This window comes from Homo sapiens, chromosome 6 (genome assembly GCF_000001405.40).
Source record: "Homo sapiens chromosome 6, GRCh38.p14 Primary Assembly".
Classification (NCBI taxonomy): domain Eukaryota; kingdom Metazoa; phylum Chordata; class Mammalia; order Primates; family Hominidae; genus Homo; species Homo sapiens.
In genome coordinates, this window is record NC_000006.12 from 37,978,298 (window position 1) to 38,005,903 (window position 27,606).

At 37.4% G+C, this 27,606-nt stretch overlaps 1 protein-coding gene and 1 pseudogene across 3 annotated transcripts in view; one reads left to right on the plus strand and one right to left on the minus strand.

Moving 5' to 3' along the window:
• Positions 1–27,606, plus strand: part of ZFAND3 (zinc finger AN1-type containing 3) — a 334,898-nt gene that overhangs the window by 158,571 nt on the left and 148,721 nt on the right. The gene's annotated exons all lie outside the window — the stretch shown is intronic.
• On the minus strand, positions 24,535–25,016 carry ITGAEP1 (ITGAE pseudogene 1; annotated as a pseudogene).

The window sequence follows — 27,606 nt, forward strand, 5'->3', positions numbered from 1 at the left end:
AATTCCGTTTGGTTGTGATACATTCTATTTTTGGATAAAATTTTGCTTAGAATTTTTGCATCTACATTTCATCATGGATGTTGGTCTGTAGTTTTATCTTGTAATGTCTTTGTCTGGTTTTGTTATTAGAGTACTTCTGAACTCATAGAATGAGTTGGAAAGTATTCCCTTCCTCTTTAATTTTCTGTTAGGGGTTTGTTTAGAGTTGCTGTTGTTTCTTCTTTAAATGTTTGATGAGATTCATGAATGAAGCCATCTACACAGGGAGTTTTCTTTGTCAGAGAGTTTTAACTGCAAATGCAATTTCTTTGATAATGATACACGGTTATTCAGAATATCTATTTCTTCTTGAGTGAGCTTGTCTTTTAGTGCGTTTGTCCATTTCCTCTAACTTGTATTTATGGCATAAAGTTGTTTATAACATTTCATCCGTCTCAGCTCACTGCAACCTCTGCCTCCTGGGTTCAAGTGATTCTCATGCCTCAGCCTCCTGAGTAGCAGGGATTACAGGCGCCGGCCACCACACTGGGCTAATTTTTGTATTTTTAGTAGAGATGGGGTTTTACCATGTTGGCCAGGCTGGCCAGCATTTTATGCTTTTAATATGCATAAAACTGTAGTGAAGACACCTCTCATTTCTGATACTGATAATTTGTGTCTTTTTTTTTTTTCTCTAGTCAGTCTGGCTAGACATTTATCAACTTATTGATAATCTCAAAGACCCCTCTTTTGGGTTTCATGGCTTTTTTCTGTTTCATGAATTCTCACTTTAATCTTTATTTCCTTCCTTCTACTTTGAGTTTAATTTGTTCTTATTTTCTTTCTTAAGGTGGGAACTGAGTTTATTGATTTGAAATCTTTTCTAATAAAGATTTAATGCTAAAATTTTTCACCTCGTTACTGCTTCAGTGGCAGCCTGCAAATTCTGCTGTGGTGGTGTTTTAATATCCATCTCTGCTAATTTCAACACCTCTGTCAGTTCTGAGTTGGTTGTGATTATTCTTTTCATGGTGGGTCAAGTTTTCTTACAACTTTGTGTATTTGATTATCTGTGTTTGGGTGGCAGATACTGTGAGATTTACTTTGTTGGGTGCCATGTATTTCTGTAAATGTACAAATCTTGAGCTTTGTTCGAAGATGCAGTTAAGTTACTTGGAAGCAATTTTGTCTTTTGGAATTGTGCTTTTATGGTGTGTGTGTGTTTAAAAGTGGGTTTGGAGAGGTGCTCAATGTAGAGTTAATTGTTCTCTACTTCCAAGATAAAACCTTCTTGAGTACTCTATGCAATGCTCCTGAATTATGAGTTTTTCCAGTCTGACATTGGGCACAGGCACTATTCCTTGCCCTGTCTATGTGCGTCTCAAGCCCTGTCAAAACAATCCATTACGATGGTTCTTTGCCTGGCATCAGATAGTTTTTTCGTATGCATGTGCTGACCTGTACTTGGCTGAATAATCAGGATCCTCTCCTGATATATAACTCTTCCTTGTGTGTTTTTCTGTTCTGTGAACTCTAGCTGCTTTGTTCTCATCAGGCCTCTTAGCTTATTTCCTCAACTTACCACATCTGCTGAGTAGGACCAGCTATATAATTAGCAGGGCCCAGTGTAAAATGAAAATGTGAGCCTTTGTTAAAAAATTATTTAGTTTCTTAAAATTCTAATTTTAATCAGATCATTAAACCAAGCACTGCACCCTTCGGAGCTGCAGCTGCACAGGTTACATGCCTACCAAGCCAGGGCTACTGCTGTACTCCACTTCATGTTCCCTTCTCTGTTCCATGGCCCAGTAATTCTCTTCAAGGCAATAAGCCAAGACAATTGTAGGGCTGGTCTCCTTTGTTTCCCATCTCTCAGAGGTCACTGTCTTTTTTTTTTTTTTTGCTAGATATCCAGAGTCATGAAAATTGTAATTTTTGTCTGTTTTTATTTGTTTTTGTTTCAGGCAGGAAGAGAAATCCAGTCCCTGTTAACCTGCCTCGCTTGGATGTAGTTGTTTTTAATGTACATTTTGTTTAAGGACCTTGTAGTAGCTGCTTTTGTGTCAGACTAGGCAAAGATTTCCCTATTTGGCCTCTTGGCTTGGTGCCTTGTTTAGAGCTGTTTGGGTAAAATCTCTCTTGTATCATTTGCTGATCTGTTTTCCAATTTGTTTTCCTGGTAACCATCAACTCATTTTCTGAATTGTATCACTTGATTTGAAGCAAGTATTAGCTTCCTGCTTGAAACCACTCTACCCTTATTCTTCTTTCTGCTGCATTTAACTGCAAACTGCAATGGGTGAGGACAATTCTCTTCTTCCACCTCCTGCACAATACATCCCCTTGCAGTACAATTTGATCGGCATTTGTGCAGTAAGGTATTAACAGCTTTTCAGATATGCCCTGCCCTATTAGCAAGAATATACAGTGATACAAAAATGAATTTGTCAAGAGTTTTATGACTTCATGATCTATCGTACAATATTAATCCTGCTGCAGTGTTATTAAGTCATTTTTCATCTCCCCTCAAATTAATGTTGACGTTCTATTACTGGATTTGTTCTTGTCCCCAGATTAAAACATAAAGGAAAAAAGCCTTCCCTGCTGCAATATTAAAATTAATTGTAGGGTAAGCAGTACCTAGCTTGGTGAAGTAGATTCCTGCTGGAAAATTTATAATGGGAATTTATTTCTCTGCTTTCTATTTGTTCTTGTGCACAAAAAAGCACAATTGGAATATACTTCTGAGGGCACCAGGAGAACATAGCAAGGAGCAGGGGGTACATTTAAAGTACTGAGTTTCCTAAAAGGGAAATGAGGAATCAGTGGTCTGAGCCTAAGGCAACCATACCTAGCTGGTAGTTCCAGCCTAGAGGCTGATAGGGATGCTTGTGGTGATAGATGTATAGGTAGAACAATTTTGGCTGACTTAGGATGGTATTTTCTTCATAGGAATAGCGTGTTTCTTGTATTTCAAGACATTTGGGGCACTTAAACAAAAACTACAACATGGTGAGGTCAACAGTTATAAATCACAGTACGACCTTGTTCAGGACTCTGGAATGAGAAGACAGCTGTTATCTTTGTTTCAGATTTGGACTAAGTGATGCTGTTCTGTGAATATTCTCTTTTAAAAATAACTGTTTTCACCCATATTGAAGCCAGGATCATCAGCTTCATGTCTGTGACCACTGTAGTGAGATCTTAGGGTATTGTGATTTTTGGTCATGGTTAGGTAGGTGCTTTAGAATGCTCATTGTTACTGTGGGAGGATCATGGAATTCTCAGTAAGTTTTGTTATAAATTCTAAATTTAAAATTTGTAATATGTAAATATATATGTGTATGTTTTTGATGGGAAACACCAAAATATATAGTGTTTGACTCTGGGTGGTGGCTTGTGGGGAAATAATATTATTTAAAAAATTTTTCCTTGTAGAAGGTCAACATGAGTTGTGTAAACCGAAGAGTGTCTGAGATAAGTCTCAATTTAGGAAGTTTATTTTGCCAGGGTTAAGGATGCACCTGTTACAAAGCCTTGGAAGGTCCTAATGCCATGTGCCCAACGTGGTCAGGGCACACACAGCTTGGTTTTATATATTTTAAGGAGACATGATACATCAGTCAGTACATGTAAGATTTACAGTGGTTCAGTTTGGACAACTCAAAGTGGGGAGAGGGCTTCTGGGTCATAAGCAGGTAAATGACAGTTTCATTCTTTTGAGTTTCTGATTAAGGTTTCACAGAATACGCCATTTACAAGGATAGTCATTTATGCCTTAGTCTGGCTTAGTGAAACAATAGGGCAAAGGAAGCAATCAGATGTGCGTTTGTCTCATGTGAGCAGAGGGACAACTTTGAGTTCTGTCTTCTGTCTGTCCTTTGTCCACAAGGAATTTCCTTGTGGGCAAATGGTGAGGGAGGTATGTAGCTTTTTTTTTTTTTAATCTTTGTATGTATCTTATTTAGGGATAGAATAAGAGTCAGGTTTGCCATATGCAGTTCCCAGCTTGACTTTTTCCTTTGGCTTAGTGATTTTGGGGTCCCGAGATATATTTTCCTTTCACAGTTGTGCAATAAAAATGTAGCCAATTATATATATTTTTATATTTGTAAATGACATAAGCAGTGGAGCAGCCTTCTAGAGGGTGAAAGATGATGCAAATATAGTCATGTGTAACAATGTTTGCATCAAGGGCAGACCACATATGCAACAGTGGTCCCATAAAATTATAGAGGAACTGAAAAAACTCCTATTGCCTAGTGACGTGGTAGCCATCCTAACACAATACATTACACATGTGTTTACGATGATGCTTGTGTAAGTATATCTACTGTGCTGCCAGTTGTATAAAAGTATAGCCAGTACAATTATGTACACCACATAGTGCTTGATAATGACAAGAAATGACTATGTTACTGGTTTATGTATTTATTATGCTATCTATCCTTAGAGTATGGTATTTATTTTTTTAAAAAGTTAACTGTAAAGTAGCCTCAGGCAACTCCTTCGGGAGGTATTCCAGAAGAAGGCAGTGTTGTCACTGGAGATGATAGCTCTATACCTGTTACTACCCCTGAAGACCTTCCAGTAGGAAAAAATCCTTGTGGAGGTGGAAGACAGTGATGCTGATGATCCTTACCCTGTGTTGACTTAGGCTAATGTATGTGTTTGTGTTGCAGTTTTTAACAAAAAGTTTAAAAAGTAAAACAAAAAATAAAAATGTTTTAAAATAGACAAAAGCATATAGAATAAGGATATAAAGAAAATATTTTTGTACAGCTGTACATTGTGTTTGTGTTATAAGCTAAATGTTAATACAAAAGAGTCCAAGGTTTTAAAAATTCAGAAGTTTTATAATATAAAAGTTACAGTGAGCTAAGTTTAGAAGTAGAAGGAAAAAATATTTTAAACAATAAATTTGGTGTACCATGTGTACCGTTTATAAACCCCACAGTAATGTGCTAGGCCTTCACATTTACTGACCATTCACTTACCCAGAGCACCTTCCAGTCCTGTAAGCTGCCTGCATGGTAAGTGTCCTATACAGGTGTACCAGTTTTTATCTTTTTTTTTTTTTTTTTTTTTTTTTTTTTTGAGATGGAGTTTTGCTCTTGTTGCCTAGGCTGGAGTGCAATGGTGTGACCTCAGCTCACTGCAACCACTGCCTCCCGGGTTCAAGCTATTCTCCTCCTGCCTCAGCCTCCCAGGTAGCTGGGATTACAGGCATGAACCACCACACCCGGCTAATTTTGTATTTTTAGTAGAGATGGAGTTCCTCCATGTTGGTCAGGCTGGTCTTGAACTCCCGACCTCAGGTGATCCACCCGCCTTGACCTCCCAAAGTGCTGGGATTACAGGCGTGAGCCACCCCCCACCCCTGGCCCCATTTTTTATCTTTTATATGGTGTTTTTACTCTGCCTTTTCTGTTTTCAGATATGTTTAGATTCACAAATACCTTTGTTTTATAATTGCCCACAGTATTCAGTACAGTAACATGCTTATACAGGTTTGTAGTCCAAGAGCTATAGGCTATACCATATAGCCTAAGTGTGTAGTAGGCTATACCATCTAGGTTTGTGGAAGTTCACTCTATGATGTTCACACAACAATGAAATTGCATTTTTCAAAAGATAACCCCATTGTTCAGCAACACGTGACTTACTTTGGGCAGTGCAATGAAAAAAGCTGAAGGATAATTATTTATTTCATGATTGCATCATCCTTCACTGTAGGTGATTCCATCATTTTTCTTTTTTGGGTTATAGTCTTTTTGAAAGCACAGTTGGATATAATTGATGAGTAGTGGTAAACTATCTGGATGATGAAATGTTAACATGTTTCAAGATATAGGAAAAATAAGATCGCTAAACTTCCATAATGTGTCTTATATTTATAAAGTGAGTCTATTGGACCAATATGGTAATTGCAAGATAGAGCATGAAATTTCTTGCAGTGACTCAAAAGTATAAAGGTCATGAAATGCCAATTCTTACAATTAGTTAGAACTGCTGAGAAAGAAACTAAAACAAAAATTGAGTCAGATGAACTAAGTGTTAAGAGCTTTAAAGGTAAAACTGTCCAGGTTTCCCGTTGTACATATGAGAAGAGGGAGTATATTATCAGTGGCAGAGCCATGGGTTGGAATGGGGGCTCAGATGTGCAGTCTTAGCTTTCACATTCCCTCAGGTGGTACTAGAAAGCAAACTAAAAATTTGAACAACAGTCACTCCCTTGTGAGTTCCTCTATAGTTGATGGTAGGATGTGAAGATGGTACTTTCTGAAAACATTTAAATTGTATATGATTACATAATTTGAACAAAGCAGTGTATCAGTGCTAAAAGCTAGTTGGCAGAAACTTTTGTCTTAAAAGTGATTTATTTAAAACTTCTACTGAAGCCCAGTGGACTTCTACATTCCAGCATCCAGGTGTCCAGTACTCTCATCTATAAGAGTGAGCTACTCGTCTAGAGGCTAAGGCAAGTTTCAGCTAGATCCAGCTAAGCTGGTCTGAACTAGTGGAATGAGCCAGTTGTAGCTGTTGTCATTGCATCTCCCTTTTGAGACTATGGAAGCCTAGGACTTAGTCTGTTAATTATCAGAGAGGTCATTGCTGTATGTGTTACGTGTTCATGGGGCTACTGCAGCAGTTATACTTTTTTCAGCAGTCTCAAAAAGTTGAATGTGAAAAATGTCTGAAAAAATTAAAAAGGGATGTTTTATTTCTAATTGTTCAATGATATAAGACTTCCAGTACTTTAGTTTTAGTTTCTCTCAGTCTTTAGTTTATTAAATAAAGATCTATAAACTAGGCAATGAGTGTTTATTGAGCATCAGGTATGTAAGGCACTAGAGGAATGTGATACTCAAGGGAATTCTTTTATAAAATAAAATTTCAGCTGGGTGTAGTGGCATGTGCCTGTAGTCACGGCTTCTTAGGAGGCTGAGATAGGAGGATCACTTGTGTCCAGGAGTTTGAGGCCAGCCTGGGCAACGTAGCAAAATAAAAATAAAATAAAACAAACATTTCTTTGTAATGAAATAACTCAGTTTAACAAATACTGATACATTAAGAACCTAGGCTCATGGCTGTAATCCAAGCACTTTGGGAGGCTGAGGCGGGCAGATAGCTTGAGCCCAGGGATTCGAGACCAGCCTGGGCAACATGGTGAAACCCTGTCTACACACACACATGCGCCTGGTGGCACGTGCTTGTGGTTCCACACACACACACACACACACACACACACCCCCACACACGCCTGGTGGCACGTGCTTGTGGTTCCAGCTACTCAGGAGACTGAGGTGGAAGGATTGCTTGAGCCCAGGAGGTTGAGGCTGCGGTGAACCAAGATTGTGTCACTGCTCTCCAGTGTGGTGACACAGTGAGACCCTGTCTCCAAAAAAAAATAACAATAAGTAAAGTTTAGGTTGGTGTTATTACTTAAGGTTCACAGTGCCACCAACATACAAAGCACATGTAGTTGAAAAGTAAAAAGAGGAATAGATAAAGGAGAATTAAGTTAGAAGAGGTAGATGAGACAGGAGAGGCAGATGTTTGTCAAATTGTGAAGCTATGTGGAATTTGCTTTTATTATTCTAGTCTCTTTTTATGCCTGAAATATTTTGTAATCTCAGATCTATCCATCCATCTAACAAGTCTTTATCAAGCACCTCCTGTGCTAAAAGCATTTTGTTGCTGTCCCAAGACTGAAACAGATAACCAGCTCTCTCAGGGACATTTGTATTTTAAAAGGAAAACACAAAAGTAGACATTGTCTGCAGATACGTTTGATTTGGCCTGCAGTGTTTTCAAAGTAGGGGAGATGTCACATAAATTCTGAGTTTGGGTTCTCTTTACAAAATATAATTTTTTTTTTCTTTTTACATTTCTTTGTGGCTCTGGTTGGCAGGAGTTGAGTAGATATTGCCCATTAGACTGGCAGGTATCCTTGAGTTTGCCAGTCTAAACTACTGCCTGTTGTCCTGAGCCTAGCTTACTTTACTCACTTACATTACCTGCCTTATCCTTTAGACATTTGAGTTTGTGGTCTGTTAAGTGACTGAGCTCTCATGGGATTCACCAGCTGTTACCTAGGTGAGTATTTGAATGGATTTTTGGGGTGGTGGCAGTGGTTGCATGTTATAGGCACCAGAAATTATGTTCAGTAAGCCACTACCAGTACCTGCTGTGCAAAGAAACATCTTCCTTGGGGAGTGAAGAACTAACCACCAGTTTTCTTGTGACATTTGTTGGTTTTTTTATCCTTAGTTTAGTGGATAAAAATAAGCGTTTAATTAGTGAAAACCCGACTACCTCCCAACCCCGTCTGTCCAGCTTTATGTTGACCTGGCTTTTAAAATCATTTATGTATTTATTTTCGCATTTTCGCAGTTCATTTAGTCTTCTTTCTCTATTTAGGAAAGTTTAATCATTATAGCAAAGGATGAGTCTCTGAAGAAGGGAGGATTGTTATATTATTTAACTATCCATACTTAACCAGGAAGGAGCATATTTTCCCCTCATTAAGAAGCCTAAGTATTAAAAAGCAATTAATACTTTATTAAAACCACAGTTACACCAACCTAATAAGTGACAACTATGTCAGTGGAAAAAAAAAATCTAGAATGTTTACTAAATGTTCCAGGCACAGGGAATACAAAGATAAGTAAGACATGGACTCATTCAGATAGCCCACAACTTATCAGTGTCAAAATTTACATTTCCTGAATATAGGGCAATGATTTATCTCTGAGAATTAATAGCCTTGAAAATATTTAAGAATATTTAGGCTGGAGTGGGACTTTACTTTGAATCAGATTGTGTTACCTGCTGTAAAGTGTGAAATTTAATCCCAGTTCTAGAAAACATTATAAACTCAGAACAAAGGAGTGGAGTTAGAAGTGAGTGGCCAGTGGAACTCTCAGCATGAGAGAAATTCATTTTTGTGATCTGATGAGTCAGAGGTTGCGGGTGGTGATGTTCAGAGGAATACATTTCTAGATTTTGGAAAAAATGATTCAGTTTTGAATTTGCTCAAGAAGTCCTCCTAGTAACAATATCTAGCATTTCTTTCAATTGGTGAGTATTAACCAAAAATGTTTACAATCAAATAAGAAGTTAGTAGTAGGCATAGAATTCATTTTATAGAAACTTTAGACCCTGGAGTGAATTATTCTGATAAAGATGATGATACCTATAATTGTGTGTGTTAGTGGGACTATAAATCTGAATCTATAAATCTAAAAATGTAGTAGGCATCTCAGTGAAGTGATTGTACCCTTTCAAATGGTTGTTCCAACTCACCTGCAGAACCTTTGTAAACTTTAAATACCCTGGCCCTGCCCCAGACTTAGTGACTCTAAATCTTAACCCCTGTGTAAGCACTGCTGTTCTGCCACAGAATTTCTGAGATCATTTGCTAGCACTTTGTTGAATCAGGATGGAGAGAGGGGAGAGGAGCAGGAGCCAGATACTCAGGTTGGGGTGACATGCCAATTCTCCTCACTGGAAAGTGGCACAGATGTAGTGACCCTCGGTCATGGTTTGTTTGGTCTCAGCTGCCCTTTCTTTAGAAAGTTGCATTATTACTGTTGGACATGCCTTCAAAATGAAATATCCTCTTTAAAATAAGCTCTTTTGAATAGATTTAGTATTTTCCGGGAATAAATTCTGAGTTTCTCAGGCAAGTCCAGAACTAAACTAATTACTTGCATATTCTTACTCTTACAGAAGCATGCTTTAAAAACTGCTGGTTAAAGTTATTGCAGTTAGAAGGAAATATTGTGTGAATTAAATTTTTTAAAAAAAGTTTTTAATGCTTCCTTAGAAGAAAATATTAATTTTGCCAATAAGTAGAAAAAACTGGAAGCAAAGTTCCTATAGTAACGTTATCTTTGCCTTTACACAGCTGCATTATTATTACCCCATTGGCCTGTGTGATTAATGCTTTTTCCTCACAACTGTGGAAGCACATAGGATTCTTTCTGTATCACTGCATATGAACTTCAATGCTGCTTTCCTAGTAAGCTGTGTAAATATGTGGTCTCAATATGTATCTCCAGTTTGACCTTTATGCTTTTACTCCTGCCAAACTTTGTCCTTGCTGTGGTATCTCACTACATCTATTGCAAACTTTTCCTCATCTGCCAGAAATGTCATTGCTCTAAAAATTTTTATTTTGTCTTTGTATCTCGCAATTCCTGACATTATGCATTATTTTCCCCCATGTAGTTCAAGCTGTTCATTTTCTCTCAGTAAAGCTTCTGTTTATAAGCTTACTGTTTTTTGTTGTTTTGCAAAATTAAAATATATTGCTTCCTAAATGCTTATTTGGCTCCCTGTCTTTGAAGCCAGCCTCATTCTGAGTTAAAACAAATATCTTACATTGATTTGTCTTCATAGTTCTTCTGGTTCCTCTTGTTCCTGTTGGTTATTTAAGGATGTGGCCTTAACTTAGATTCTTAGCTCCTCCTTTCCTCCCTCCTTCCAACATTATTGAATATTTGCTCTATGTTAGGGACTCTTTTGGTCTCCAGAAATAGAGCAGAGAGCAGCTTCCTGAGTGGTGTGCTTGTTCGCATGTTTTTTTAAGGGTCTAGTTTTATTCATTCCACAAATATTTAGCTGAATTTTTTTTTTTTGAGACAGAGTCTTGCTCTGTCACCCAGGCTGGAGTGCAGTGGTGCGGTCTCAGCTCACTGCAATTTCCACTCCCGGTTTCAAGCAATTCTCCTCCCTCAGCCTTCCCAGTAGTAGCTGGGATTACAGGCACCTGCCACCATGCCTGGCTAATTTTTTGTATTTTTAGTAGAGACAGGGTTTTGCCATATTGGCCAGGCGGGCCTCAAACTCCTGACCTAAGGTGACCTGCCTGCCTTGACCTCCCACAGTGCTGGGATTATAGGCATGAGCCACCATGCCCAGCCTAGCTGAACATTTAAGGTATACCAGGTACTATCCTAGCATAGGGATATAGCAGAAAATAAAACTGGCAAAGTCTCTATCTTAAAATACCTTGGTTTGGGTGGCTAAAACAATAAATTTATTCCTCATAATACTACTGAAGGCTGGGAAGTCCAAGATTACATGCTGGCTATTGTTGGGTTCCTGGTGAAGACCCTCTCCTTGGTTTACAGACACCTTCTTGCTGTGTCCACATGGCAGAGAGAGAGAGAAAGAGATCAGCTCTCTTGTTTCTTTTTATAAGGGCACTGATCCCATTCGTAAGAACTCTACCTTCATGACCTAAATAGCCCCACAAGTCACCACTTTCTAATACCATACATTGAGGAATAGGCTTTAACATACGAATTTTGGGGGGACACAAACATTCAGTCCGTAGCAATAGATAAAGAGCAAGCCACATAAGTTATCTGGGGAAAGAGTGTTAGGCAGAGGTGACACCAATTGCAAGGGCCATGAAACTGGGAGTGTTCCAAGATGGGTTCAGGAACAGCCAAGAAGCCAGTGTTGGCTGGCACGGTAGTTTTTGTGATTTTAGTTTTTGTGATTTTATTTGCATTTAAATCTGGAATCCATCTGGATGTTAATGAAATGAAATGCTGTTTCTAGAAGAAGGTTGTTGAAGTAATACTCTAGAAAGTTAGGATGCAGAGCCAGAGGCACAGTGCTCACCTGATCTGGGACATGGAGCAGTTTTCTCGAAGAGTTTCAAGAAAAGATACCATAACGGAGACGAGCCTTGTCTCATGCTTCTTATATTTATCCTCTGGGAGGATTTCGTTGGCTGTTACTGGTATAGCCCAGGACAGTGGTTCTCTAACTTTAGGGCTGAATCAGCATCATCTGGAGGGCTTGTTAAACTATAGACTGTTAACTAAGTAAGTCCCACCTCCAGAATTTGACTCTCTAGGTCTGGGTAAGAGCTGGAGAATTTTCGTTTTTAGTAAGTTTTCAGGTGATGGTGATAGTCCTGGACAATACTTTGAGAATCACTGGCCTAGGGGTTCTGAGCTTAAGCTCTGGAATGAGAGTTTTGCATTCAAATTTCTGTTCTGGTATTTACTAGGCTATGATTTGGGGTACTTTTGTGTGTATATTCCCCCTCCCCTCAAGCCACAGTTTGCTTTCTTTGAACCCAGGGTATGTACTTCCTAGAGCCACTGTGAAGACTAAAGAGAAATACTGTATTTGAAATAGCACATAATTGAAACCTGGCAAGTGCTCCTAATAAATATGAGTTGCTGGTGCTTTTACTGAGCTCTCTTTTTGGTTAGAGTGTGTCTGACCCAGTGCTGCTCAATAAAAATATGTAACATAATTTTAAAACTTCTAGTAGCCATATAAGCAAAATCAAAACAAGGCAAAATAAATGAATAATTTTAACACAACATACATGAAATATTTTAAAATATAATCAGTATAAAAGTATTAAGGTTTTAAAATATTATTTTCTTTATACTAAATCACTTAATTTGGTGTGTCTTTTGTACTTAAGCACGTTTCAGTTCAGACCAGTCACATTTTAAGTGCTTAATAGCCACATGTGGCCAATGACAGCTGTTTCACATGGTACCAGTTTAACCAGCACTCTTCCTCACCCTTTCCTCTTGGCCACCTCCATTACAGATTCTTAGTCTAATTAGTTATAGACGTGGAAGTAAGCTTGTTTTAGTTAATGCACAAAGAATGACCCCAGGCATGGCAGGCATCCTTGACAGGCTTTTCTGTCTCTTAAAAGTTCAGTCAGGGATAAGAGTTTGTCTTTGTGGGAGTCAGTTTTCACTAAGGATGTCATGTCACTTATAACCCAATGTCCTTTGAAAGATCTCTTTTTTTAAGTTCTGTGGGTTTGAATATTTCCCACTGGAGGAGGGTCTCTGGAAACCTCAGGAGTCTAAGGAATAACTCCGCCTGATTCTTAAAAGCTAGTCACGTGTGCTAACATTGGTTTCCAGAACTCAGCGTCTTGACTCATTGGACAGGCATTTTCCCTCTGTGTGTCTGTGGAGACTGTTGTGAAGGAGGATCCCCTTAGGATTTGTGATTATTTTTATTTTATTAATTTAATTTAATTTTTTTCATTTTTAAAATTTATTTTATTATTTATTATTTACTTTATTTTCTTTGAGACCTAGTTTCACTCTGTCACCCAGACTGGGGTGCAGTGGTGCAATCTTGGCTCACTGCAACTTTTGCCCCCCAGGTTCAAGTGATTCTCCTGCCTCATCCTCCCGAGTAGCTGGGATTACAGGCGCCTGCCACTACACCTGGCTAATTTTTGTATTTTTAGTAGAAATGGGGTTTTACCATGTTGGCCAGGCTGGTTACGAACTGCTGACCTCAGGTGAGCCACCTGTCTTGGCCTCCCAAAGTGCTGGGGTTGTTGCAATTTTAATAAACAGGGAAATTTCACTTGCCCCTGTGTTTCTGCACAGTAGCATATTTCAAAGGCTTGTGGTGTACTTTTGTCTTCAGTTAAGTATTCATTTAGCAAATATCCGAGTACCCACTGTGTGTCTGTCAGTTTTCTTACGCTTTTACAGACCCTATTTTGGAGTTTCATATTTTTCAGTGATTGTTTTTTAATCTTTTAGCTTTTATATTATAAGCTACTCAATGAAATCCTACCAGAAGGAGTTTTGGTTATTAAACTTTTGTATTTGTTCAGGATTCTTTTGACATTTAACCCATTTGAAAATAAATATATGAAATGTTAAGATTTTTTTGCCTGTGGTGATAAATCATGTTTGGTAATACCTTTAAATTTATAAATGGACAATGTGATTTGCATTTTTTTGAAAATACTTTATTCTTGCTGACTGGCTTTTTAAAAAATTGATTGGGACTTTTCTTGCAACTTATGTAACAAGTTTGGGAACTGTGTTGTTTCTTAGACTAGGCTTTTAAATTCACTCACCCTTGAAGGGCTCTCTTTTGAATTTGTATTTCTAGGTAGTATTTCCTATGCTTACAAAAAAAGGAATTTTTTGTCTTTGCTGCCCATCATGTATCAGCATTTAATTTATCTTTTGCTACTGAGAGAAAATGATGATTTGGGTGTGTTTGGCAATAGAAGCAAAACCTAGTATAGTGCAAATAAATGAAAAGAGTGGAGCTCCCACAATCATTCTTCTCCTCTATCAACTTTATTGTTTAAAAAGGTTCAAACCTACAGGAAAGTTAAAACACTAGAACAGTGAATTCCTATGTATCTTTCACTGAGACTGAGCAGTTACTTGCATTTTTCCACGTATGCTTTCCCTCTCTTCTTCTCCCTTTGTTTTTTTGCTGTCTTGTAGCTGGTTGCAAACATTGACACTCCACCCTTAAATTCTTCAGCTTATTCTCCCCAAGAATAAGGATATTATTTTACATTGCCACAATATTAAGAAATATACCTAAGAAAAATATCAATAATTCCATAAAATTGAATATACAGCCCCATTCAAATCTCTTTAATTGCCCCTCAAATGTTTTTTATTGTAGTTTTAAAATTAATCCAAGATTAGGTTTAAGTGTTTTATTATGTCTCTCTTATTTTCATCTACGCTGGTTCCTTTGACAAATTTTGGTTTGTTTTTTTGTTTTTCCTGTCATTTTTTTTTGAAGAGTCTAAGCCTTGATCAAAGTCTGTTTTATACAGTGTCCAACATTCTGCATTCATCTAATTGGTTTCCTCACAATTCACTTTAGCCTAAACATTTTTTGGCAATAATACTTTATTAGTTGACATGCATTTGTTACTGCATCACATTCCATAACATCAGATTGTGCTTCTCTTGGTATTGCCATGTTTGATCATGTACTTAAGTTGATGACCACCAGATGATTTCATTGTACACATACATTTTTCCATCTGTAATTACTGTGTAATCTGGTGAGTTCAATCTCACGTTTGGATTAAAATTTTTATCGTTAAGAAGTGTCTTTTTAATCTAGAAAAAAAAACAGGTTATTTAATAGCCTATGTCACATTTTGTTTTTGTCTCCTTTATGTGACATGATGAAACCATAGAGCTAAAAATACAACCTTTGCTGATTTCTGTTCGCCTTTAAAAAATGATTTTATTTTATTATTTATTTATTTATTTATTTATTTTGAGACTGAGTCTTGCTCTGTCACCCAGGCTGGAGCGCAGTGGCGTGATCTCAGCTCACTGCAACCTCCACCTCCTGGGTCGAAGCCATTCTCCTGCCTCACCCTCGCAAGTAGCTAAGATTACAGGCGCGTGCCACCATGCCTGGCTAATTTTTATATTTTCAGTAGAGATGGGGTTTCACCATGTTGGCCAGGCTGGTCTTGAACTCCTGACCTCAAGTGATCTGCCCACCTTGGCCTCCCAAAGTGTTGGGATTACAGGCGTGAACCACTGCACTTGGCCTGTTTTATTTTTAAAGAGACTGTTTTTCTCCAAATTATTGATAACATGAACTGCTTATTGTTACCAATAAAGTATGTGTGCACGTGTCATTTCCTTTAAAAACTCAGGAATTTAAAGTAAAAAAAAGTTTTCTGAAATATTTCATAGCTTGCCTTTATCTTACTCAGATCAAAATTGTCACGTGATAATGATTGGCTTAAATGTACTTACATTATACAACACAGTAGTATTTTTGTTTTGTTTATTTAGCATGTAACTCTAAGTTCTTTAGGCTCTTTGTGATATTTTCATTTTTTGCAAAGATACTAAAATCCTTGAAAAAGTGAATGTTACCAGTAAAGATAAATCGTTATCGAACTACCATTCCAACAGAGTATATCATAGGACCGGTAAAAGAATTGGATTTCTAACTTTTTAAAAAAACGATTTTTACATTTGCTTACTAGAATTATGTGTCTGTAGTTCAAAGAACAAGTTCATGGAGTGTGTGTCTGTGTGTGTGTGTGTGTGTTTTGGCTTCTGTTACAAAAAATATGATTACTTAACAATTATAATGTTATGATCCTGAAGATGATGGAGTCACTGTAGGAAAAATCCTTCAGTGTCTTCCATAGGACAGCAGCTTATTTCGCCTCCATAGTGGACCAAGGAACTGACAAAACACTCTTTTGTTTGGTTTTTATTTTTCTTAGAATGGCTTCTACTCACAATCAGGTTAGGCAGACCACCTGGTGTCTGCCTGTGAATGGGGATATTTATGAGCAGTCTGAAGCAGTTCTTAAGTGTCCACTTCTTTGATAGAGAGAGACTGCTTATTCCAAGCTCAGACATTACTTTTCTCTCAGAAATTGCCTGCCAACACCCCCCTCATAGTAGAATGACTAATTATGAGCTGCAGTCTTAACATTTTTCATTGTTTTGACGTTGTATGCTTGGCAGGGTATAGGGTAGCTCTTTACTTCTTCAGGCTGTCTATATTTATCAAATACAGTGTAGATGCCTTTATAATATTAAATATGTGATTTGTAACTCTTACTCTCCAATTTCTATCAATAAAGCACAGCTGCTTAGTTACAACTCTGGCTGGATTAAGCAGTTTGTTTTATTTTGTGGCTCACTAGAGTAATTTGAAACAATGAAGATTTACCAAGGATATAAGGCCAGATTTTTGCAGGTGCTGTTGTGTGTTTTGTAAACAAACATTCATCTTTAGTGGCTAGATATCAGGCAGGTCCCCCCAAATTTCTGGTGTACACTAGAGATCAGCCCAGATGTTTCTTATCCGGGGTGGGGGTAAAGAGAGGGTGACCCTAATGATCATGCTCAAGAGTGTTATGTTTGGCTGATCCAGTGGTTCTGACTGCCTTTGTTCCAGGCAGTGTGTAGCAGTTTAACAGCTCCTTTGAATGTGTTAGTGAATGAATGAGAGAGTAAAAGTTGGGGATAAAAGCAGAAAGGTGGTGGCATGATAATACTGGAGAACCTGCGTGAGCATATTAATTATATGGGTGCAGTATGCCATGTCAAGGCAGCTGCTGACTCTTGACAGATCCTATTAACCCCATGTTTTTTTCTTCTTCTTTTGAGGTGATCTTCTTAGTAGAAATTTAATTTTAACCTCTTTCTTAAAATAAGGAAAACTAATCTTGGGTGTCAGTCACATTCATAATTGTAGGGGCAAGCATTTTAGAAGAACTTAACTGTTTTCAAGCACTAAATTCTCAACCTGAGTTGTCTTCAGCAACCTAAGGTATTAATATGTCTAAAGAGCCCGGTCTCTTGGTTTCTTGTGCACGTAGTTTTTGGGTTTCTATTAATGAAAGGTTCTGGAGGTTCTAGAATAAAACAGGTATACCCTTTTGGAAATTGCATTATTAACATGCAGTGATCATTATTTCTTCACCATGTTGTTGGAAAATTTAATTTTGCAGTGGGAATAAAAAATGTTTAAGAATTCAATTGATGTTTATTAATTGTTGCCTATATATGTTATGTACTGTGCCTGGGGAGGGGAAATACAAAGATGAGTAAAGCAGGACCTCTTCCTTAAATGAAATTTTAGTTTTTAAAAAGCCTTTTAATGAGCACAAAAAGCCCTTTAGTGAGCAAAACAAACACAGTTAGTAAGTAAAATGAGTGCATGTGATTTTTTTTAAAGGAAACTATCAAATTATTCTAAATATAAAAATTTTAAACGAAATTTAAAACAGTGAGACTTGGCCGGGCACTGTGGCTCACACCTGTCATCCCAGCACTTTGGGAGGCCGAGGCAGGTGTATCACTTGAGGTCAGAAGTTTGAGACCAGCCTGGCCAACATGGTGAAACCCCATCTCTACTAAAAATACAAAAAAATTAGCCGGGCGTGGTGGTGGGTGCCTGTAATCCCAGCTACTCGGGAAGCTCAGGCAGGAGAATCGCTTGAACCTGGGAGGCGTAGGTTGCAGTGAGCCGAGATCACACCACTGTACTCCAGCCTGGGCTACAAGAGCGAAACTCCATTTCAAAAAAAAAAAAAGAGACTCTTATCTTTCTTATCTTGCAGAAGAAAAGGAATTTTAAGTGCAGATTTTCAATGGTTATAATTTTCCAACACCAGACAAATAATGAACACAAAATATATGCTGCTGTAAGATTATATTGATAGTCTCACAGTATTTCTCTTCAGCATTATTATCTGATCAACACATATATGAATGGAATAGTAAAACTTAACATTTATCATACACTTGTTATGTACTTATTTCTTTTTTATTATCACAAAAGTATAAGTGTCCTCAATTTAAATGAGGATGCACAGAGATTAGTAACCATCCCACAGTTAACAGAACTAATAGTTTAGCAGAGCCTAGATTCAAGCCAAGCAGTCTGATCTTTTATCCAACATTTCCTGAGTTCAGTTATTCTTAGCTGCCCCTTAACCCCCTAATAGGTTTTTTTTGTTTTGTTTTGTTTTCTGTTGAGTATGGTTTGGAAGAACCTGCAAAACTCTATCTAAAATGAAGGGATACATTAACTTTTCTTCAGACTAATATTGTAAGAGAAAAAATTTAAGGAAAAATTTGGTTAATTTAATTATCTAAATCATTTTCTGTATATTTTCCTTCAGGTTCTTTATATATATGCATATTTTTGCAGTGTATAAATATATTTGTAACCTTATATTCTACAATATGAGACATTTCCCATGTTTCTATTTTGTTTTCCAATTATTTTGAATTGTTGCATATTATACCATTGACCTAATTTATTCACATTTGCTCATCTTTTGGGATTGTTTTGGTTGTTTCAGTTTTTCATTATTATACATAACATAGTAATGAACATTTTCTGCATAGCATATTTTTCTTCTCTTGAATTATTTTTGTAGGATACATTTCCAGGAGAGTCACATGTACTCTAGAACTTCATATGTTAGTTTGTGCCTGGCAGTGCCTTTATTATGTGAATTAGGTAGGGAGAAGTAAATTTGCAGAATAAAATGTGTTATATTCCTTGTAAAGTCATTTTTGCATTATCCAGTCATTTTGCATATAAATAGTAGAAAGGGGTTTAGTTATTTATACTGTTTTCTTATTTCCATTGGGGAAAGTAAGAATTGGGGAGATACAGGCAATATTAAATTAGAAGTGCTTTAACGTATCAGTCTTCTTCTTCGGCATAGTCTTTTAGTTCCTATATTTTCAGGAGTATGGCTGGTATATGATTCCAGGCCCTACAAAGAAAATGAGAATGGAGGAAAGAATAGCATTGTAATGATAGAAGAGGGTTAAGGAACACCTGTTGACTCTGATGATAAGAATTATGATGGATTTGTCATTCGTACAGAAAGCTAGGAACTTAGCTCAGATGCATGCATAGTGTGAGAGACAAGACTCAAATAAAAATACACAGGTAGTTCATATCACTAGAGAGCCCCAAGCTAGTTTCTACTTGAAGTTAAGACAGCCACTGCAAGGAGGGAGGGATAGCTGTTGGGGTAAGCTTGGGAGCACTGTGAAGCACTTCTGTGGTCCCTTGTGCTCCTGGGTGAATTAACTGGAGGTGCTTTGCTTTCCTCATAGAGGGCCATGACCACTGTTTCATTCATCCTTTGAATCCTAGTGTATACAGTGCCTGACACATAGTAGGCCCTTAGTAAATGTTTATTCGATTTAGTAGAATTCATAGGTCCGTCAGCTTTGAAAAGAGTGGCTAGCACATGTGCAATTAAAATTGTGCTAGAGAAATAGAGGATTATTGGGCAGATGCACCAGTTTGGTGGGAAGAGACTTTGGTGACTTCAGTGGATAGGTAGCAGAATTGGAAGATTGTTCAGGAAGAAGGGATGGTGTTAACTGCTATATTGAAATTTCCTTTGAAAACTTAGGTTCACAGAAAAACCTGCATATGAATGTTTATCATGGCAGCTATATTATGATCTCCAGAAAATGGAAGTAACTAAAGATGTTCTTCAATAGGTGAATGGATAAACAAACTGTAGAATATTATTCAACTGTAAAAAGAAATAGGCTGTCAAACCACAAAAAGACATGGATGAATCTTAAATGCAAATTACAAAGTGGAACCTGATTCAAAAAGGCTGCATTCTATATAATTTCATTAGTATGACATGGAAGATGGAAAACTAAAGTGATAGTACAGAGATCAGTGGTTGCCATGAGTTCAGGAAGTGAGGAGGATTGAATAGGTGAAGCACGGGGGAATTTTTAGAGGGATGGAACTATTCTGTATGATCCAGTGGAATAGTGGCTACGTGACAGTTGTCAAAACATACAGAACTTTTGCAGCACAAAGAATGAATTTTAATGTGTGAAAATTAAAAAGAAAATGTTTAGGAGATCCCAGGATAGAATGCAGAATGTTTTAAAAACAGACTATTACAGATGTATGAAACATCTGTAATGAGGGGGGCGGGAGGGGGAGAGAAAAAAATGCTGAACTAAGTAAATTTGGAAGTAAGTGAATTCTGAAAGACTAAAGGCAAAAGAACCTGCACCTGAGTATTGTATTCTAGCTGATGAAGTTGTTTTTCATGGGTGTACAGGTTAACAGTTCTGATACTGTTATACATGTATACTGGAATTGACCAAATAAATAAATGGATGGTGGAAGCCAGATTTCTCATTGTTGGGGTGGGTATTTACAGAAGAGTAAGGGGAAGAGGCTAGAATGGTCCATGTGGTAATGAATTAGAGAAGGATATATCAGTAATGTGGATACTTAATGTGGATACAGATGGTTACATATAGAAATATTTACAGAGATGAATGTGTACACAGATTGGTATACACATATATTTCCTTGCTCTGTCTGCTGAGAGGGCCTAGATGCAGCAAACAGTGATTATATGTAGCACCTAGATCCTGGTTTCTAATAACCATTCTCCAATAGAAGCAACCAGGGCTCTTGGAGAAGTGGTCAGTTCTAGGACTGGAGTAGGAAATATATAAATTGAGCTTTGAACATATTATAGTGCCAAAAAGTAAAGTGCTTTAAAAAACCCCACAATGAAGGGGGCATGTCAGAGGGACACAGGAGCCAGCTGAAGAGCTCCCAGTGGCCCAAGCTGGAAGGAACTATTTGAACAACAAAATAAAATACTAACAAGTTGTAACCCGAAATATAAAATAAATATCCATGAGTCCATACTGATATATAATTAGTGATAGATAACTAAAAGAGGGAGAAAGAGATAAATTTGCCATGTAGCATTCCAAATAATTTATGTAGCTACTCTGCCATTAAGGAGCAAGGGGAGCCTGACTCTCTGTTCCTTAAGTGTGGGCTGTGCTGTGACTTCCAAGTGTGGAAAGGGAGGGAAAGTAACTTTAATGGAGAAACCTGACAAACACTGCCTCAGCCAGGTGATCAAGATTAACATCAGCAGTGATAATTCATATTGATTGCATATACCCTTGATATGGTGTGATGAGAATGGCCTCTGTGATCTTCCTCCAATCCCATTAATCCAGTTTAACCATGAGAAAAATCAGACAAACCCAAATTGATGAGCATTGTACAAAATACCTGACCAGTACTCTTGACAAATGTCAAGGTTATCAAAAACAAGGAATATCTAAGAAACTATCACAGCTAAGAGGAACATAAAGAGACATGACAACTAAATCTAATGTGGTGTCCTGGATGAGATCCTGGAATGGGAAAAGAACATCAGGTAAAAACTAAGGAAATCTGAGCAAGTGTGGACTTTAGTTAATAGGGTGTCAATATTGGCTCGTTAATTGTAACAAATATACCATACTAGTGTAAGATATTAATGATAGGAGAAATTGGCTCCTGAGTATATGGGAATTCTCTGTACTATCCTGGCAACCTTTTTATAAATCTAAAACTATTACTAAAAAATAAAGCTTTATAGATTCCATTGATTAGAAGGAAAAAATAAATAAAGCTTTTTTAAAAAAGGAAAATACTTCTGGGTGGCACAAGTAGAATTGCTTTTACTTATCCCCCTATTGGAGTTTAAACAATTTTTAAAAAAATAAAAGCAAATTCAGATACCAAACAAACCAAAAAACTTACTGTGATGATCCTGAGAGGTTTTGAGATGATGTTGATCTCAGATTGATATTGATCATTTGCGAGACCCATAGCACCTTCCATTAATTAATTATAAATTCTTCTCATCTAATTCTGAAATTGAGAAACTGTATTTCCCATGCCCTCCAAACAAATTTGTGAAAGAGCGAAAATTTCATAGATCCTGACTGTATTTATTAGTTCATTCTTATACTGCTAATAAAGACATACCCAAGACAGGGTAATTTATAAAGGAAAGAGGTTTAATGGACTCACATTTTGGCATGGCTGGGGAGGCCTCACAATCATGGCAGAAGACAAAGGAGAAGCAGAGACACATCTTACATGGTGGCAGGCAAGAGAGCTCGTGTAAGGGACCTCCCCTTTATGAAACCATCAGATCTCATGAGACTTAACTTATTTACTGTCAGGAGAACCGCCTGGGAAAGACCTGCCCCCATGATTCAGTTACCTCCCACTTGTCCCTCCCATGACACGTAGGAATTATTCTCTAGTAAAACAATAAATTAGATCAAGGATGCTAAACTCTGTATTCACCTAATATATCAATATTTAGACTAAAAGAAAAGACTAAAAGACAAAAAGAAAAGATATCAGACCAACAGCCATAACTCAGTTCTCTTGTGTGTAACTACTTTTTACTCCTAGAGACAAAGGAGTTGTCTTTACTTTTATTCCAAAATGAGATTTGGGTGGGGACACAACCAAACCATATCACTGACTGAGTCTTGCGCCTACCTTCTGCTTAATGCTTCTTTCTTTTTAGAAGTAGAAATATTCATGAATGAGAAAATTATAGGCACTGGACCTTCCTCTGATGCACTGAATAAAGCTCAGAGTTCGCTCTAATCACACTTGAAGGAGAATAGGTTGAAGAATGCAGGGTAATTTAGAAATGCAAGAATGCTTGTATATCCTTTTACTAAGGAGATTTTTAAAAAATCTTCAAAATAACTCTGACCACCCTTAGTGTAGAAAGTATTCTAACTCATTTTTATTCATTCTTTTAAATAAGTTACTTTCTCTTGACCTGGAGTAGGACAGTCCCAACTTCCAGTTGAATAATAATCCCCTAGAAACAATGCTTTGTTATTTCTGACACTGGTTCACTGCTCTCCTCTTCACAGATCCATTACTACTAGTGTTTGACCTTCTGGAAGGCACAAGGTGCTCCTGAAATCATAGTTAGGACTGGGAACTGAAGGGCTGATGCAAATGTATCTTGTAAGACAGTCTGTGTTCTGTTACAAATGATCTCCATCCTGGTGTTCTTTCCTGCCCAGTTCATTTATTTTTCCTAGGATCTTTGCACAGAGCAGAGCAACATAAACTCTATTACAGTCTTATCTTTTAGTGGGCTTTTGGCCAAAGGTTCAGAGCTCTAGAATTTAGAATTACTTTTTACTTCATAAAATCACAGGGTTGATGTTAGCACTTTTTTTTTCAGCCATTAATTCATCCCTTGGTCATATGTAAATAAACTAAATTTGTATGATGTAGTTGGTGGAGTGAGATGTCTGGTTTATTCAGCTTGGAAAACCTCTTTCAGAACATGGATAAACATGTATTTGTGCATTCCCATAGCTTCCGGCAAGCTCTGTAGAGAAGGTCAGAGGAATAAAAGTAAAGGCAACTCCTTTGTCCCTAGGAGTAAAAAGTAGTTGCACACAAGAGAATTGAGTTATGGCTGTTGGTCTGTTATCTTTTCTTTTTGTCTTTTAGTCTTTTCTTTTAGTCTAAATATTGATATATTAGGTGAATACAGAGTTTAGCATCCTTGATCAAATTTATTGTATTACTAGAGAAGTACATTTTTACCAGTGAAAATACAGTCAAGTGTGAACATTTTAAATGCAGAAAGCCTGAGATTTTGTCCTATTCAATAAAACGGCTGAATTATAGAATACTCAAGAGATGTTGTTTTCCTTAAGAAGATATACTATAAATATTCATGCGTACTAAGCCTATAGAAACATAAACTAGGCTTAGTTCAACAATAAATACTTGCAAGCTCAATGAAGACATAATGGATACAAAGATGATACCCTCAGGAAGCTTATAGTTTAGTTCTAAATTACACTACTGTATTTTCTTTTCTTTTTTTTTTTTTTTTAAAGAAAACAGTTTAACATCAAATGTTTCCCAGGTTTACTTTTTGCACAGTGCATACAGTTTTGGGAAAATATGTGGTTACAACACGATATTCTAGGCCAGTTATGTTGGCTCACACCTGTAATCACAGCGCTTTGAGAGGCTGAGGCGGGCGGATTGCTTGAACCCAGGAATCCGAGACAAGGCTAGGCAATATGGTGAAATCCCGTCTCTACAAAAAATCCAAAAATTAGCCTGGCTCGGTGTTGTGCCTGTAGTCCCAGCTACTCAAGAGGCTGAGGTGGGAGAATCACTTGAGCCCAGGAGGTGGAGGTTGCAATTGCCACTGCACTGCAGCCTGGGTGAAAGAGTGAGACCCTGTCTCAAAAAAACAACAACAATAAAAACAAAATAAAACACCCTATGATAGTCCACAATTTGTTCGATGCTACTCTAGATCATCCTAAAGGAAAAAGCAATCAGTACGACACCAAGTCTTTAGAATTTCGAGGATTGGTTGATATTATCTCCCAGTAGATGAGAGAGCAGATCTTATTTTTTTTCTGTGAGCAGATTCGCTGGCTTCATCTGGGCCTTCCCTATGCTAAGTTCAATTATTGATATTTTCTTTTTAAAAAGCCACATACCTTGCTAACACGAGAAGAGGGCTGGGGGGAAAATGCCACACTTGGACAGAATGACTATAATTATCAAAACCAGAAGGCCATCAACGTTGCCTCCAATGATGGTAGGCAAAGAATGTTACTTCTCATCTTTCAGGAAGATGACAATGATCTTAGTTCGTTGGTTCTCTATATTCAGCCCCTCATATAGAGATTTGTTGAAAGGATCCACAGTTCAGTTACATATCTTGGTAACAGTTTAGAGTGACCCAACGAAATCTCTGCAGCCATGGTTACATTTTCTTTATGTGACGTGATGGCATAGCTCACTGAATGCCATTCTTCCACATGCTGAACTAAATTGATCTCATAAGTGTGCTTCTGACTTTGGATGCACAAAGTGTAGGCCTGAAATGAAAGCTATTCCTGGGATGCACTGAGCAAATAAACTGCCATAGTCATCTGCCCCCTCTCCTCTATACCGCTGTATTTTAATTTAGTTTATAATAATTAAAACAGCTTGTACATTGTATTTTATTATAAATGCAATTAATGAAATATGAGTAAATGAACCTTTAGTATTAAAAACCATCCATAATCTTTTTTTTTTTTTGAGACGGTGCCTCACTTTTGTCGCCCAGGCTGGAGTGCATCAGTGTGATCTCAGCTCACTGCAACCCCTGCCTCTTGGGCTCTAGCAATCCTCCCACTTCAGCCTCCCAAGTAGCTGGGACTACAGTCATGCACCACCACGACCAGCTAATTTTTGTGTTTTTTTTTTTTTGTAGAGACGGGGTTTTGCCATGTTGACCAGGCTGGCCTTGAACTCCTGAGCTCAAGTGATCCACCTGCCTCAGCCTCCCAAAGTGCTGGGATTACAGGCGAGAGCTACAGTGCCTGGCTAGTCCAGAATCTTAACATTGCTATTTGTATATCTTTTTCCTTCTGCCTTCAGGGAACCCCTCAATCACTGCTTATTACTGTGAGTTTGCTCTAACCTGCTGCCATCACCTTCTGTCGTCCGAATGAAAAAACTAATTTTTTCTTGATGACTCTAATATTGTTTGAGGGGCAATTCTTCTTTTTCTCAGCTTTTCTCATTAATGTTGTTATCTTTTATATGAAACTGAAGGATGGCCAAATCCCATTATCCAGCTATCCTGGGTCAGCTTTCTAGGTTTTACAGTGGTCCCTTGGAGGATTTTAGGAGTCCTGTATTTTAAAAATTTGGTGACATGGGGTTTAGTGTAGAAGATGCAGAGAGGCCATGGGAAGGGATTCCAGTTTGTATCCCAGAACATGGATATATTCAGGTTGAGATCTTGTGATTGTCAAAAACTCTTGTGTATTTTGAAGGTGATTTCTGATAGTACATATTTGGTAGAATCTTACCAAGGAGGCATTTGATTTCCAACACGTTTGCTCATAGCATTATATTGCTTGCCTTGGTGATACCGTCAGTGTTCCTCCTCTGCAGGATTTTTATTTCTTTTAAATTTTTCTTTTCTTTTTTCTTTCTTTCCTTTTCCCTCTCCCTTCCCCTCTCCCCCTTCCCCTCTCCCCCTCTCCATCCCTCTTTAGGACAGCAGTGTCCTGATAGAGTTAACACACTTGGAAGTGCTAAAGCTGTCTACACACACACACACACACACACACACACGAATGAATAAGTAGGTCTTCAGATTGAACGGTATTAAATGTAACAATATTTTCATTTATACTTTGATCCTATATTTTCTAAATTTTCAATAATAGAATATGCAGAATATAAGTTTATAATCTTCAGACTTGAATTTTTAGCCCAATACATGATGTTATTGTAGAGTAGGAATGGTATGGAAAAATGAAATCGAGAGATAATTCTCAACCTTTATTCTTAATCATTTAAAGTCAGAATTTTTGTCTCTTCCATTAAATGTCTGGCTATAACACAGATCATCATCATGTGGCAAAGGTATGTCAGACTGAGAAAGAGAGTGGCAGTTCTTTTGGGGGGCTCAGTAATTAGAGCTTACCTAAAACCCAAAATGTTGAACTAGAAAATCACTGTGGTCTCTTCTGATTCTAAAAGTTGGTGATTTTCTTGACATCACAAATTCATGCAGTTGCGTGTGTGAATAGTGAGATGTTAAACCTGTAACAAGAAGAGATAGATCTTCTTCAGTGAGATAATCAGCTTCTGGGTGGCTGAGAAGTTTTTATATGAGTAAGATCAAAAATGAGAGTCTGCTCAGCAGATTTGCAGAGAGTCTCTGATAAATTTCTTTAGTGCCATTTCAAACCCCAGGAGCTCCACATATGATGGTTTTATATTGGGCTCTGTTATGGGCATATTCTATATCTCTACTCTCACTCTGCAGATCTGTCGAAGCATGTTTTGATAAAGAGTATTGAAGTCTCAAAGATGGGTTTTAATATCTTTACCAAAGGATGGCAGACATTGACAGATGGTTTCTAAGGATAGTTCCTTGCAATCAAATCTTATTTATAGTGCCAGTATATAAAATGAGTATAGGTGGTGTGCATTATTACATTATCAATAAAAACTAACAGTTGATTTCCACTGTCAATGGCATCTGACTTTTCTAGATCAGAATCATGTAATGTGGTAGAAGGAGCTCTTAAGTAGGATTGACAAGCCTTTATCTATCCTTCCCTCTCTGTTTTGAGCACTTGGGCAAGTCATTTGAGCTACCTGAGAGACTGTTTTTAGAATGAATCACTTTTCTTATAATGATGGATTTTTAAAAATCACATTAATTTATTATACAGTTGTTACATTCTGCATGGTTAATAAAGGATGACTTGCCAAGAGAAATCTTAATTTCATCAGGTTTCTAGAACAGTTTTTAAAACAGTATTGAAAACATTACTATGTTTTTATACTTCTTCACTGTGTATGAGGAAAAGTTGACCACTTGAGTGTTGTTATCAATGTACACTAAACTAGATGTACAGTTCAGGGGACATCAGCACATATATGGACATTTGGCAGATTTCT